Genomic DNA, 14,967 nt, shown 5'->3' on the forward strand with positions numbered 1-14,967 from the left:
CTAAGGTGTCGACTTTGCTGTTTTTTTTTTACCCCAAGCATCTGATAGTAGTGCATAGTAGGTGCTCAAATATTTGTGGAATCAACAACAACAAAAAATAGATAGATGAGTGAATGGACAGATAGCGAGAAGAGAAAAAGGTCAGTAGACAAAGAGTCAAGGATATTCTCCTTGGGACTCCTGAATTCGGACCAGAGAGTAGGGAAACTGGGGAGGTAGGGGGCGTTGAGGGTGGGATGAGGTGGTGGCTCTGGACCTTAATCTCACGGTCTTCGTTCCCACGGAAAAGGGAGGAGTTTCTACAACCCAAAGACTCTCTCTGGCTCCCTTGCTAGATCCTGCCTTCTGCCAGAAGACCCCAGAATACAGGCAAAGCCGCCAAAGAACAACAGTTCCAACGGTAGGAGCAGAGCTACTGCCTTCAGTGCGCCTCGGATCTGCACGCCCTGCCTATCTTTGGGGTACAGAGAAGGCGCGTACCATGAAAGCCCCAACTTCCCCTCTTTCTTTTCTCCCACGGTCGGGACCTTAGGGTAGGAGTTTCAAGAGGGGAGAAGCCGGTGGAGCAGTAACAGCCTTCATAATGTCTCCAGTCCCGCTTCCGTCACCTCCCTAAGGCTGCGCCCCCCTCCTGGGGGACGTGCGCTGGGCCCGGGGCCGCCGGGGCGGGGAAGGGTCGGGCCCGGGGCGGGGAGAAGCGTTTATATGTCGGCGAGGGGCGTGGGAGCTGCCACCCGCTTGCCTGCGGGACACCGGAGTCAAGAGGCTGCCCACGCCGCTGCCTGTCCGTTCCACGGTTCCGAGGTCTCCACCGTCTCCCCGCGCGCCGCAGGCGGCACCAAACTCTGCGCTCCCCGCGGTGCGCCCTGCCCGCGCAGTGCGCGTCCAGAGGAAATCCGCCCCGGGCTTTCGAAGTGCAGGGCTGGGGGCTGCATGGAAGTTTCCCCAAGGTAAGTCCAGGAGCCAACGCTGGGACAGCAAGAGCCAAAACTAGGTTTACAAGTGATCAGTAGTTGGATGGGAGGGACCGGCCAGAATAGAGGAGGCTGCATGAGAAAGACTGCGGTGGAGGGAAATAAGTGAATTTCAGAAGCTCAAAAACTCCTCCTTTGGCTTTTCTCCTCCTCCAAACAAGAGTAACTGCCCTCACCTCGTCTTTCTTTTAATTTTTCGCATCCGACTGTTGAAGAACCTACAGCACACTCTTGTCATTCTCTGCTCCCATCTCCGCGTCTCCCACCGCGCACCAGGGCGCCTCCTGAGAGGTGCGTCACCCAACACTGTGTCCTCACAGCACAGGGCCTGGCGAGTGGCATGTACAGTGGACCACTCTCGGAAACAAATGAATGGAGTTAATCAGGGTGAGTCAGGAAAAGTCACTCCCAAGCCTGTACATTCCCAGTCTGTACTTTTGTTCTTGCACTTCACACAAATTTATTAAAGAGGGTTGGACTTTTACTGCTGTCTGAGGGGAGGAAGGAAAGCAGAGAAAATGCACCCTTTTCTCAATTCCCAGAAACATTCTACTCTGAGCGGAACCCCAATTACCTGGCTCAGTATCAACCATGCAAGTAATTTTGAAGAGGAGAGGAGGCAGGCTGGAAGAGGAAAAAAAATGTTAAAACTAGGAAGTGATTTTCTTTTCTTTTTTGTCCTTTTGTGACAAGGATTTCTCATTCTCTTGTTAAAAGTCTACTCTATGGATATATTTAAAGAGGACCTTTTGCCAGTGGATGGGTGTGGGGGTGATAGGAGAGAGGGGTGGTGACGGTGATTAGGAATATCTGAGACAGTAAAAATCCTAACACTTGTGGCAGGAAGGATAACAGCAGTTTTCTGTTAAGAATTCTATAGTTACAGAATTCAGCAGTCATGTTACTTTTTCTAAACTAATCTATTTAATGAGTAGTATTTTTAATATAAAATGTTCAATGTTAAATTTATTGTTCAGTGTCTTCATAGAGGAAGTCACTTACATAAAAATCCTGAAACTTCTAAATAATGTTCTTTAAAATACACAGCCTTAATAGTTCTTGTCTTTATAAAAGAGGTTGTCAATTAATTTCTCCTTTTTTTTGAGACGGAGTTTCTCTCTTGTTGCCGGGGCTGGAGTGCAATGCGCCATCTCAGCTCATCGCAACCTCCGCCTCCCGGGTTCAAGCGATTCTCCTGCCTCAGCCTCGCGAGTAGCTGGGATTACAGGCATGAGCCACCATGCCCGGCTAATTTTGTATTTTTAGTAGAGACGGGGTTTCTCCATTTTGGTCAGGTTGGTCTCGAACTCCTGACCTTAGGTGATCCGCCCGCCTCAGCCTCCCAAAGTGCTGGGATTACAGCAATTTCTCCCTCATTTTATTCCAAAATATTAGAAGTGCAGAGGAGAGAAAAAGAAGGAGAAAAAAAATACCGTGCCTCAAAAGAAGGTGTGTTTTGGATGTTGTGCCATGTGAAATCAAATTTTATAATGTTCATGAAAGATGTTAGGTTAAGCATTCATTGGAGAATCATCTTTGGCTTTTATATTTTAGTAATTTAAAAAATTTAATTTTGCTAAATTTTTTGTGAACCAATTCTCCGGAAATACTATTGTTGAATATAAATACTTGCAATTTTCATTTTTTCCATTCCCTTCAGATAGTCTGAATTTCAGAAAGTTTCAGTATTTTGAATATTTTGCAGAAAATATTTATTTATTTGTATAGACAGTATCAAGAGCATCTAATTAAGTCACCAAATGAAGATCAGGTTGTAAAAATTATGAATAAAAATTGGTGCCTTATTTAATAATCTCTATACTTAGTACACTATAAAGTCCCACTAATACAATGGTCTTAAAAATGACTAAAAAGAACTTCTCTGTCAGTAAATATCCGCTGACCCTGGAATTCCTCAAAAATATGGGTTTGTGAGCTAGACCCCCTGCAAATATATAAAAGTGATCCAGACTAATGATTATGTGTTGTAATCTAAGAATACTCATTCCTACAGTCCTAAGAAATAAGTAGGAAGATTAGATTTTCTATGCTTCTTCTTATGCTTCTAAAAGATTCATGAACATGACTTTTCCAGGATGATTGTTGGCCAAAATTATTTTTTTTCCTTTCCTGACCTTATTGTCGTTATTTAAAGTATAAGGTAGATTAGCTTTGCTCTCCAACAGGTCTAGATTCAAGTTATAGACAAACTCAAACAATGCAGTTACCTCTCTGAGTCTTATTCTTGTCACCTGTCACATAGGGCAGTGATATCTACCTACCTCACAGGGGTGTATGGGGAAAAAAACAAGATCTTCGTAAAATGCCAAGCACAAGTGCTCAATAAATGAGGACAATGGTGATGGCGATGGTGGTGGTAAAGCCATCATCATCATTAGATCAGGCAAATAGAATTGTTTCCAATAATTTAGTTACTATTGAGCCCAATTTTATCCTGTGTTCTGACCTCACTCAAATACTTTGTTTCCATGGAATGTAATACATGATTAACAGGAACGAATGATCCGCCAAACATTGTAATCTCCTTGGAAGTGTTCTAGTTTGTAGAGATCATGGAGATCATTTAGGGCCTGTCACTCTGGCATGCTGCTATCCTGGAAGAGATGTTTGAGGATTGTGGCTGTTTTGCTTTTACTACAAATTTCTTCATATCTTAGGCTTTAGCATTTGAGGAGACTTTTCCGTGAGGGTCAAATTATGCCTGCAGGTAGGAGGCTTTTAAAAGTGCACTCAGTGTTTTAATTTCTTTAGCTAATGCTTTTGCAATAATAAAAATGTCTTTCTACTTTCAGCAGAAGAGTATTATATTTAGATTTTCTGAATTTTAAAGCAGTTACCAAAAGCTACGCTAAGTTTTTCAAAGGAATTTAAAAGGCATAAATGATCCTTTACAAAATAGTGACTAAAGGCCGACCTTTCTAAATGAAAAAATAACTGAATCTTATTCTCAATTCCTCTTCTGTTTCCTCGCCCTCCTTCCAAAACTGGTTTTTTCTTGAGGTGACCCCAAGGCCTTGGCATGGAAATTTAGAGGAGATTACCACATAAAAATAGATACCATTAGCTAATATAAGTCATGTACAGAAGAAAAGATCTTTTGTGTCTCTTGTATCCCTAATGCTTCCCACAATACCTAGCACTTAGTAGGTATTCAGTAATATTTGGTAAGTGAAGGACTTAAAATTTCAAAATTCTGGCTAAATTATGCATCTCATGTAAAGCTGTAGCAGTTGCACTTTGAAAATCCAATAACATGCAAAATCTCAGGGAAAATTCCTAACGTGAAAAATCTCGGGACAAGATAAAGGAGGCAGTATCATCTTTGTGTCTCTACTTCTGAAGTTCAGTCTTACTAAAACACCTGGTCTATCACTACTGACTCTAAATCTTATCTTTATGAGCTATTTTGATTGACTGACATAACCCTAAAAACTAATGCATTTAACAGTCCCGAAGAACAAGTCTAAGGAGATGTACTCATTTAATTTTGGAATGATGAGAAAATTTTTCCCCAAATGCTCAACTGGTAGAGGGGAGGGAAGAAGAATAGAATATACAAACCAACTTAGTCTTGCAAATGTAAACCTCAGTATTCTCCTTAAGTCACAAAGGCACAAATAAATATACATGTAACCATTTTAAAACCATTTACAGTTAAGGATGTGAACATTGATTTGACTCTAAAATATTTTTGTATTGCTCTAAGTACTGTATCCTACACTTTAGAGGGGAAAGATTTTGCCAGAGTTAGTTGGCAAAGGCATTTGTGTTGGCTTGAAAAACCATAAGCTAATCACTTATTTAGTCCGTTAAAAACAACTTGATTAATGTTTGGTAAGAAATTCTGACTAAAATTCTCCATTATATGCTTCCAAATACAATAGAACTTTGAAGATCATAAGCAAGTCACAGTCATATTTGGCTATTACTGTTTGTTATAAAACAATACCACAGTATGTCAAATGGTCTGTGTACCATATTTTCGTACCCCTACCTCATCCTAAGCCAGCATGTGTAGTTAACTTTATAATCTTGTTTACTTTCACATTTTCTCTGGGACAGCTAGAAACTTTAATGTGAAGATGACATTATACACTGTAGCAGATTCCCTCAATATCCAGGCTTTTCTCCTCTCTGCTGGCTACAGATAATGTGAGGGCCCTGCCCATATTTTCCCACTGTGTTCCTTCTTTTAGTGCATGCTGGAGGCTTCTTACTTCAAGCACTGTGACTCTGTCTGAGGGCTTTATCAGGCCTTGGGAGCCTGCCTGACCCATGTAGGGTAGGCCAGAAGGGCCTGGAAGTAAACACCCCTGGAGCAATACCTTACCCAATAATATATGAAAGTTGGTGAGTAAATACCCCACTTTCTCACATCTTAGGTGAGGCAACTTTTGAGGTATGAACCATACATTCCTCCAGAGGTACCCAATGGAACCGAGCTCCAGCTGCTCATAGTGGTAACCTACCTGCTCATTAACATTGACTTTTTTCCCTTCTCTGTCTCACTTCTCCACTCCTTTACCAGGAGTTACCTCCCAAATAAACTAATTGAATGAATTCTTGTCCAGGGTCTGCTTTTGGGAGAACCCAGTCTACCATAAACTTTTTGGCTATTTCAGTAAATGCAGTATAAGTTATACTGCAGTAAACTAAGTATAGCTTATACTTAGCCAAGTGGACTATAGATGCCATTCTAGCCAAAAAGTAAATCATGAATGGAATTCTTGCTTTCCACAGTGCAGAACAGAATTTTGTCTGTAGCTAATACTGTTTCATTGGTGTCTTGGTGTCTTGTTTAACTTGTATCTTATTGGTCATAACTGGATCCTAAATTCTCATCGCCTTTTTTGGAAACTGTCATGGGACATGGAGGGAGATATCAGTGAAGATTTGGTGTGACTCCAGAACAATGAGGGTTTAGTGTGATCCCATAATTAGAGAAATAGCACAAAGAACATATTCTGCTCATGTTATGTAAAGAGGTTCTGGAAAGTGGTTCAAACACATGCTCAGTGAAGATAATGCTGGGCCCTTTATTTTCCTGCTGGGTGTTCCTATCCCCTCCACAGGTTGGGTCACCATTTATTTATCAGTGATTTTCTAATCCATACCGCCAGGCCAGACCTCTCCTGAGAACTCCAGTCCCAGATATCTAACTGCCCACAAGGCACTTGAAGATTTGTTTGCACCACAAGTCCAACAAGTCCCAAATGGTACTCATTATCTTCCCCCAAACCCTCCCCTCTTCCTGCGAATGGCACAACCCAGTGGCCCCATCAGAAAACTTTGAAGTAGCCTTGAGGATCTGTCCTTCTCACTTCATCAACAGTCCCATCTAATCAGTCTCCAAGTCTTACAAATTTAATTTCCTAACAATCTCTACAAACTTCTCTCCATTCTCCTTGTCATCACTGCATTTCCAAAACACCGTCATCTATTTCACTCAACACCGGCCTCCTAGTGCCCCTCCCTGTATCTAGTCATGCCCCTCTTGTAGCATTCTCCACACTTCAGCCTGAAAACATCTGCTCACACTTTTCTCTGGTTAAAATGCTCCAATGGCTTTAGGTAAAATCCAAAATCCTTATCCTGGTTGAAAATCCTCCCACCACTCCACCTTAACTGTGTCTTCTGCATCATGCCTTCTTATTTTGTTCCCACTACTCCCAGTCCTCTAGTTCTTTAGGGAGATCTTGCTCTCTCTCACCTCCTGCCACTTGCATTTTGGAATCTCTTCTACCTAAAACCATATTCTCCAGACTCTCAACCTGGCTAACTGCTTCTTTCCCTTTAGAACTTAGCTACTATGTTCATTCCTTGAGAAAAAGCATTACTGGACCCCCTTACTAGGAAAAGTGCCCTTCCCTGGATCCCCACAATAGCCTGGGCTTCCTTAGCCATATCGCTCTCCCACTAAAAGCTCTATTTCTTAGTGTTTCATGTTCACCAGACTGCCTTCAGTGCCAGCTACTGAAGTATCTGTTGTATGAATAATGAGCTGAAATCAGGTTCCTTACTAGCTGATGATCATGGGCAAGTCACCTAACTTATCTGAACTTCAGTTTTCTCATCAAAGTGGAAACAATATTCAAGCACAGGGTGATTGAGAGGAGTTGATGAAATTATGGATCTGGGGTTCCTGACACCTAAGTTGGTGCTCAATACATAGAAGTTATTTTGGATTCAGCAAGGTAGAACTAGGCTTGCCTTGCCTCATGATGTTTTGAGACAGTAAAGGCTACATCCTGGAAGGTGTAAGTTAAAGGGGCACTTTGATGTAGCAGCTCTGGGAGGAACCCAGAGGGAGGAAAGTATCATTTAGCTAAAAGCTAAAAGGTCTTTTAAAACCTTTCAAGAGGTGTGTTTTTGGAAATGCAAGTGATGTAACTACATATAATGGCATCTAATTCCCTCACAGTTTCTTCCAAACAGTCTTTCTCCTTGAGTTTCAATATCTGCATTCCCTGGGTTAATGCCATGAATCCAATTTCTAAACTGAGATTTTTTTCCAAGAGTTCTGCCTTAATTAGTTATTCCCCGCTCCTCCGTGGTTTTTTCTTTCCCCCTTCTCCACGAGTACTGTCATCAACCTGAAATGGCACCATTAAGCACCTAATCTTTGAGCCTCCGGGGAACTGTCATCAAAATGCTCAGGAACCGAGATGTACATTTACAGGCAATGTAACTGGGTAGAGGCAAGCACTAAACAAGTTCCTCAGCTTGCACTGGTGAATGATGAAGGCAGAGAATTTCTTAGCTTTTACTAGAGAGGTGAATTAAGTACATAATTGGGGTGGAAATTGGGATAATAGCACCTCAGGGAGCTGTCTGCACATTTTAAGGGCTTTTAGGTATTTAGTAAGTTACTGCTTTGACGCACTTACCTAATAGTCCATAGCAAAACAGTTTTCAAGTTCACTGGGCCAGAGGTGCCCTGCCCCACTCTAAACATACAAAGTGTATAAATTCCTTTTTTTCCTATATATCCTAACAATTTTGGAATACATAGTCACTTGTAAGTAACAGTCAGTATACTCAGAAAAATAGGCAAAATGGTGGTTAATGGTGTTGTCTATGTTGGAGTCCCACCTCATTTTCTTGGATCAGCTTGAATAGATAAATTCATAAATATGTATTCTTAGCTGCAAAATTCTTTAAGTAGTTGCCTTTTTACTTCCAAAAGCATGAAGGACTTTATTTATCTGTTTATTTTATTTCTCAGTGCTCTTATCAAGTCTTTAAATTTCTTCATGGAGAAAACAGCAATTAGGCAATAGATGTTCCTATGTCATCTCAATCAGCAGTAGCAAAAGTTGTTAAGTTGGGCAGTGTGCTGGGCACCGACTGCATGATTCCATGCCTTCCATCCCTGCTAAAGTCCCCCTTGAGAAAGGAGATGTGCGCTGTGGATGCAGAGCTGAAGCCATGCCACTAACTGCAGCCACTAAGCAATTTTGGGCTGGGATAGAAATACCCTAGGGAAAAAGAGATGAATGACTTCAGCTCTTCACAAGGTGGGTCTTCAAATACTCCAATCCAGAGTTTTCTACATCAATGAACTCAGCACTTATTAAACATATTATATACATTATCACATTTAATCCTTACAACAACCCATTATCCTGCTTTCACAAATGAGAGTCCAGGATTTCAAGGTTCATCAATTGCTCAAATCACAGCTGGCCAATGAAAGAGATTTGAATTCTGGATGTGGTTAAAACTCAGACCTTGATACTGCTATCTGTATATTCTGCCAGGTAATCTGGAAAATGTGTGCTTCAAAAGCCTAGAAACTTCTAATGTGGACAAAATTTAGATTCCTGGATGCTCGGAATAACAGTTCAGAAGTCATATTTTTCATGGTAAGAGGAAATTTTGACTCAGTATTTTTTAGAAGAGGGAAAAAAGGGAGACTGCTAACATTGTGAACATAAAACTCAAAATGGCGATGTTTGAGAAGTCGCTCAGGGACTTGGATCTCTGTTATTGAAATTGACTTTAGTAAATATTTTCAAAAGTCCATTCTCCTTTTTTTGCTGTTTGACTTTTTATAGAATCCTAGAATTTCAGAGCAGAAATGGATCTCACAAATCGTTTCAAGTATTTTTTTAAGCAAAAGTGATTGGTTCTTCCTCTATGCTCTCCCACAATTTAAATCTTTTCATGAATTCTTGTCGATCTCGGGAAAAAGACAGAAGTCATGAGTAGGTCCTGCAAAGCTGTGAATGGCCTGGACTCTTCCTCTCTTCCAGTCTCATTCAGTGCCATGCTCCCCTTCTCTCCCTGTGTTCTATTTATACTAGACTTCCTTTGCTTCCTTGACCACGCCATTCTCCTTCTTGCCACGAGAACTTTGCATCAGCTATCCTCCCTTCCTGGAACATCACATTCCTCCTGGGCTAGTTAACTCTCACCATTCCTTCATCATTAGCTCAAACAGCATTCCCTCAAAGAAGCCTTCCCTGGACTTTCCAAGTTAATCAGTTCTCCTCATTATGTAGTGATATATGTCATCACAGTGTATAATAATTCAACAAATAGTTATTAAGCATTTTTTTTTAATGTACAAACCCTATTCTAGGTGCTGGAAAACAGACAAAGTCCCTGCTCCAAGGAGGATATAAACAACAGAGAAGTCAATAAATGACTTATAGGTAGTATTCCATGCTACCTTAATTAAGAAATTAATTGTGGAGCTAATGACTGACTATAAAAAAGGTGGGAGGTAATTTTGGATGGGGTGGTCAGGGAGGCTTCTCTGGGGAGGTGACATTTGAGCAGAGATCTGAGTGAATATGGGAGGAGAATATGAGTCCCTCTTTGTGAAGTCGGGTAGGGGGACACTTCCAAGCAGGAACAACTTTGGGCTTGTTCATGGAATGCAAGGAGGCCATAGTGGCTGGAGTGGAGGGAATGAGGAGAGTAAAGATGAGATCAAAGATCACATGGGCATGGCTCACATCATTAAGAGCCTTATGGACTGGGTGTAAGGAATTGGAATTTAGCCTAAGTGTGATGAAAAGTCACTAGAGATTTTGAACATAGGTGCACCAATCTAATTTATGGTCTTCAAAGATCCCTCTGATTGCTGTGTGAAGGATCTATGAAGAAGGACAAGGGTCAGGTACTGTTAGTGCAGTAGTTCCGCCAAGAAGTGATGGTGGCAGTGATGTGGTTTGCAGCTGGTGCAAAGTGGTTACATTTAAAACATGTTTTGAAGTACTATTGACAAGACTTGCTGATGGATTGGCTCAGAAGTTTCAGAGAAACCTCTTTTTTACATGTATCACAGTTGTAACTTTACACTTATTCATGTAATTCTTTAATCAGCACCTTATAGTTTCAAAGGACTATATGCTCCATGAGATAAAAAAAAAAAGTCTGTTTTTACTTTTCATTGCATACCCACTGCCTGACTGCCTACCAGGTGATAGATGCTTAATAAATATTACTTGAATGAAGGCATGAATAAGTGAACGGATAAATACATAAACTAAAACGATCTTATTCTATAGATAAGGAAAATCGGTCTCCGAGAGTTTAAGTTAAGGAAATGGCCTTAGGCCTCAGCTCAGACTAGAACCCATGTCTCTACATTCCTCTTTTAGGCTACTTTTCCTCTTGCAGTAGAGCCACTGTGAACCTCATACTCTTTTATTGTGGGGAGGGAAGGGTTGCCAAAATGTGTTTCAAAAACTCCTAATGGATAACTAGTCTGTTTAGCTTGGCACTCACGAATGGCAGTCAAGAGTTATTCTAATCACCTTTGAGGCTCTGTTGAGGTAGCTCAAGTCTATTACACTTTTTTCTCTTCTTTGACCTTGTTTTCTTCTCCAGTAAAGATAACTAATCTTGACTCACTATTGGTGAGTGTTATGCTTAGGACCCAAAAGAGGTCAGCCTAAGCCATCTGATTTGTGTCCTGTTTTGAAAGACACTATAGGTCTTTAGGCAAGAGCAGCTGGTGTGCTTAATCTTTATATAAGAAGGTAGCCATTCAAAAATGTTCAGCACCCCCCGCCAAGGGCATTTTGAAGAAAATCAGTGGAGGCAAGCTGTGATTAAGAGGGAAAGGAGAATAGAATACAATTAAGAGTCTCCTCTGTTCTCTTGGAAGACAAAAGCTGCCTGAAATGTAACTTTCCCAAGCAATGATCACATCCTTGGCACTCTGCCTTTCTAATTAAATTGCTGATACATATATATGGATATTTCATTTAATGAACAGCTGGTAAAATTGGATCCTTGCTCTGCAGAGGTTTACCAAAGCACTTCATAGTTTCAGTATGATTGAATACTAATCATTTACTCCAGAATACAAAAAGAGGAAATTAAACCTGACCTAGCTGCTTATCATCTGGGACCTTCTAGGCTGCATCCCCCATGGTCAGCATAGTAACTTTATCTGTTGTTTCCCATCAAGTTACTTCCAATGTTACTTTTCCTTTTTTTTTTTTTTTTTTTTTTTTTGGTTGTTGTTGTTGTTGTTGTTGCCCTACTCTTGGAAGCAACACCTGGTGTGCCTTTACATTTTTCAGAGCTGTTTCTGATGCTCTGAGACCCAAACCCTTATGAGGTTTCCAGGAGACAGACATTGAAGAGATAAACACTCAGATGAAAGCTTAATCATAGATTTGAGATATGCTATGAAAAATAATAAGATGCTATGACAGAAAAATCTCAGAGGGAACCTAAGTTAATAAGGACAGAAGGAAAGGACCTCCTTGAGGCAGCAGCATTGCAATGAAGACTTGGAGACGAGGACTGAGCAGGAACAAGGAAAGAGGAACAAAAAGGTTGCCAGAGAGGGTGGCAGTGGCCAGATGGGCATGGGGCAGGGCTTTTCAAACTTTGATGGGTATGCAGATCACCTGGGGACCTTGTTAAATTGTTATTCTAATTCAGTAGGACAGGTGATCCTGCATTTCTGATCCCCAGTGATGCTGATCATGCTGATCTGAGGACCACTCTTTAAGTAGCAATGGAATAGGGCAAGGGTTGCAAAGTTTTTCTATAAAGAGTGAGATAATAAACATTTTAGACTTTGCAGGTCATACTGTCTCTGTTGCAACTACTCAGCTGTGCCATTGTAGTGTAAATGCAGCCGTAGATAGTACATAAGTGAATGGATATGGGTGTGTTCCAATAAAGCTTTAGCAAAGCAGAGCATCATTTTGGCTCACACACCATAGTTTTCTGACTCCTGGGGCAGAATCAGGTGGTATTGGTTCTTAGGTTCAGATGCACATCAAAGTCACCTGGGTTTGAATAATCACCCATCAGGTTCCTATTTCAGATCAATAAAATCAGGATCACTGGGGATGGGACTGAGGCACTGATAGACTTAAAAAGCTCCCCAGGTAAGCCGGGAGCAGTGGCTCACGCCTGTAATCCCAGCACTTTGGGAGGCCGTAGGCAGGTGGATCACAAGGTCGGAAGATCGAAACCATCCTGGCTGACACGTTGCATAACCCTCTCTCTCCTAAAACTATAAAAAATTAGCCAGGTGTGGTGGACACCTGTAGTCCCAGCAACTTGGGAGGCTGAGGCACGAGAATGGCGTGAACCCGGGAGCTGGAGCTTGCAGTGAGCTGAGATCATGCCGCCACTGCACTCCAGCCTGGGCAACATCCCCAGGTGATGCCAAGGTGCAGCCTGGGCTGAGAGCCACTCTGGGCCTCAATCTCATTTGATAGCCCCTTATTCTCTTTGCCCTAGGAGATAGGCAAGGCAAAATGACTCCATCTTTTCTTAATTCTGAGAGATCATCAGTTGACCAATAGCTTTCAATGAAGGGGGGAAAAACACAGCAGGAAATGTACAAAAACACAGCAGGAAATGTAAAAAAAAAAAAAAAAAAAGCAGGAAGTGTACAAATCTCTAGTAACACACATCCTGATTTCATGCATGTTAAAATCAGGGTGGAGTGGAAATGTTCACTCTGAATTCAGGAAATATGGTATTTTCATCCCTAGTATACAGATGAGGAAAATGGAGCACAGAAAATGTATTGTGCAGATTGTATGATGATATGCCAGGGAGACACAGGCAACCTATTGTGACTTAGCTTGCTGAACTGCTTAAGCTCTTCTGTCCCCTCTGGGCCTTTCCAGATACATGCTGATCTCCCTGCCTTGGACATGCTGCCTCACCTCATTACAATCACCTGTTTAATTTCTGCTTCTCCTTCAAGTCTTCTCCTCAGCTTAGTCATCTGCTTTTTCTGAGGTATCTTTCCTGGTCCACACCCAGAGAAGGGGCCCCTGCTGGGAGCACCTGTAGTCCTTAGTGAGGTTCTCTATTAAAGCCAGATCTCTTTCTGTTGACATAAATTTAACCTCCTGGCCCTGGAAAAGTTCATGAGGGAAAGGACCATGACTGCCTTGTTATTTTATCTCCAACACCTGGTATATGGCAGGGGCTCAGTGAATTTTTGAGGATTGCACGAACTCAGTCCCCCTCCTCAGCAGAGGGCAGCACAGTGGTTTAGAGGAGTGGTTCTCAAAGTGTTGTCCTCAGCCCTTCCGTATTAGCATCACCTGGAACATTGTTTGATATGCAAATCCTGAGGCTCACCATGACCTACTGATTCAGAGTCTCTGGGGCTGTGGCCCAGCTGTCAGTGTTTCAGTCTAGCCCTCCTGGCGATTCTGAGGCTTGTTCCAGTGTGAGGATCACAGGTTAGGGTATGGACTCTGAAGCCAGACTGCCTGGCTTCGAAACCCTGGCTCTGTTGCTTAAAAACCGTTTGGCTCTGGAAAATTTACATCACCTTTCTGTACCTCAGCATTCTCATCTATCAAATGGAGTTGATAAAAATACCGTCTGAAGCTTGTTCCAGTGTGAGGACCATGGATTAGGGTATGGACTCTGAAGCCGGACTGCCTGGCCTCAAAACCCTTGCTCTGTTGCTTAAAAACCGTTTGGCTCTGGAAAATTTACATCGCCTTTCTGTACCTCAGCATTCTCATCTATCAAATGGAGTTGATAAAAATACTAGTAGCTACCTGAATTGGATTAAATGAGATAACCTAGAGCTGTTAACACAGCACTGCTCAAAGTAAGTGGTGAAAATATGTTAACTGTTAGTATTATTAACTGTGCAACTCTGGGAAAATTTATTCTCTGAGTTTTATTTCCTTTGTCTTTAAAACAAGGATTAAATTTGCCTCACAGGGTTTTGAAAGTTAAATGGTTGTAATATGTTAGGGTGCTTAACCTTTGGCTAGGCTGTGGGGCCCAGTTATTTAGTCAAACACCAGTCTCCGTGTTGCTGTGAAGGTGTTTTTTAGATATGATTAACATTTAAATCAGGAGATTTCAAGTGCAGTAGATTACCCTCAGTAATGCATGTGGGCCTCATTCAATCAGCTGAAGGCCTTAAGGAAAAAGACTGAGGTCCCCTGAGGGAGAAGAAATTCTGCTTTCAGACTTAAGATGGCAACATCAACTCCTGCTGGAATTTCCAACTTGTTGGCCTACTCCGCAAATTTGGGACTTGTCAACCCTCATAATTACGTGAACCAATTTCTTGAAGTCTCTCTTTCTCTCCTCTCCACCCCCCTCCTCTACACACACACACACACACACACAGACACACACACACACACACACAGTCTCTCTCTCTCTCTCTCTCTCTCTCTCTGCCACTCACACATTGCCTTTCTGTACCTATTGATTTTGTTTCGCTGGAGAACCCTAATTCAATGTGCTAAATATGTGTAGGTCCAGGCTTTTCAACCTATATAGTTTCTCAACTATTGACCTTCGGGCTGCACAATTCTTTATTTTGGGGAACTCTTCTGTGCACTGCAGGATGTTTAGCAGCATCTAACATCCTATTAGCAGCATACTAACAACAGTAGTGGGTTGACCTCTACCCACTAGATGTCAGTGGCACCCCACACCCCAGCAGAATCAAAAATATTTCCAGACATTGCCAAATGTCCACTGGGAATGGAAAATCTCC

At 41.8% G+C, this 14,967-nt stretch overlaps 1 protein-coding gene across 15 annotated transcripts in view, besides 1 other annotated feature; it reads left to right on the forward strand.

Moving 5' to 3' along the window:
* COL6A6 (collagen type VI alpha 6 chain) overlaps positions 273-14,967 on the forward strand; it is a 160,323-nt gene continuing 145,628 nt past the window's right edge. For 7 of the 15 annotated variants that reach the window (XR_924103.3, XM_005247121.6, NM_001102608.3 and 4 more), the window contains exon 1: positions 730-950. Coding sequence is in view for 4 of the 15 variants with exons in the window: in XM_011512424.3 (XP_011510726.1) it covers positions 934-950 (17 nt within the window). In the remaining 11 variants the exon portion in view is untranslated. Of the gene's footprint in view, positions 401-729; positions 951-1,010; positions 1,362-2,340; positions 8,861-14,967 lie in introns of those variants that run through there. The other 8 variants (XM_017005712.3, XM_047447448.1, XM_047447445.1 and 5 more) reach the window with 6 other exon arrangements.
* Positions 11,245-11,445: a silencer, noted in NCBI's record as "peak4833 fragment used in MPRA reporter construct". NCBI's record gives its function as "represses an SCP1 promoter by STARR-seq MPRAs in K562 erythroleukemia cells {active_cell/tissue: K562}" and the evidence as "EXISTENCE:reporter gene assay evidence [ECO:0000049][PMID:32103011]".

Source organism: Homo sapiens, chromosome 3 (genome assembly GCF_000001405.40).
Source record: "Homo sapiens chromosome 3, GRCh38.p14 Primary Assembly".
Lineage (NCBI taxonomy): Eukaryota > Metazoa > Chordata > Mammalia > Primates > Hominidae > Homo > Homo sapiens.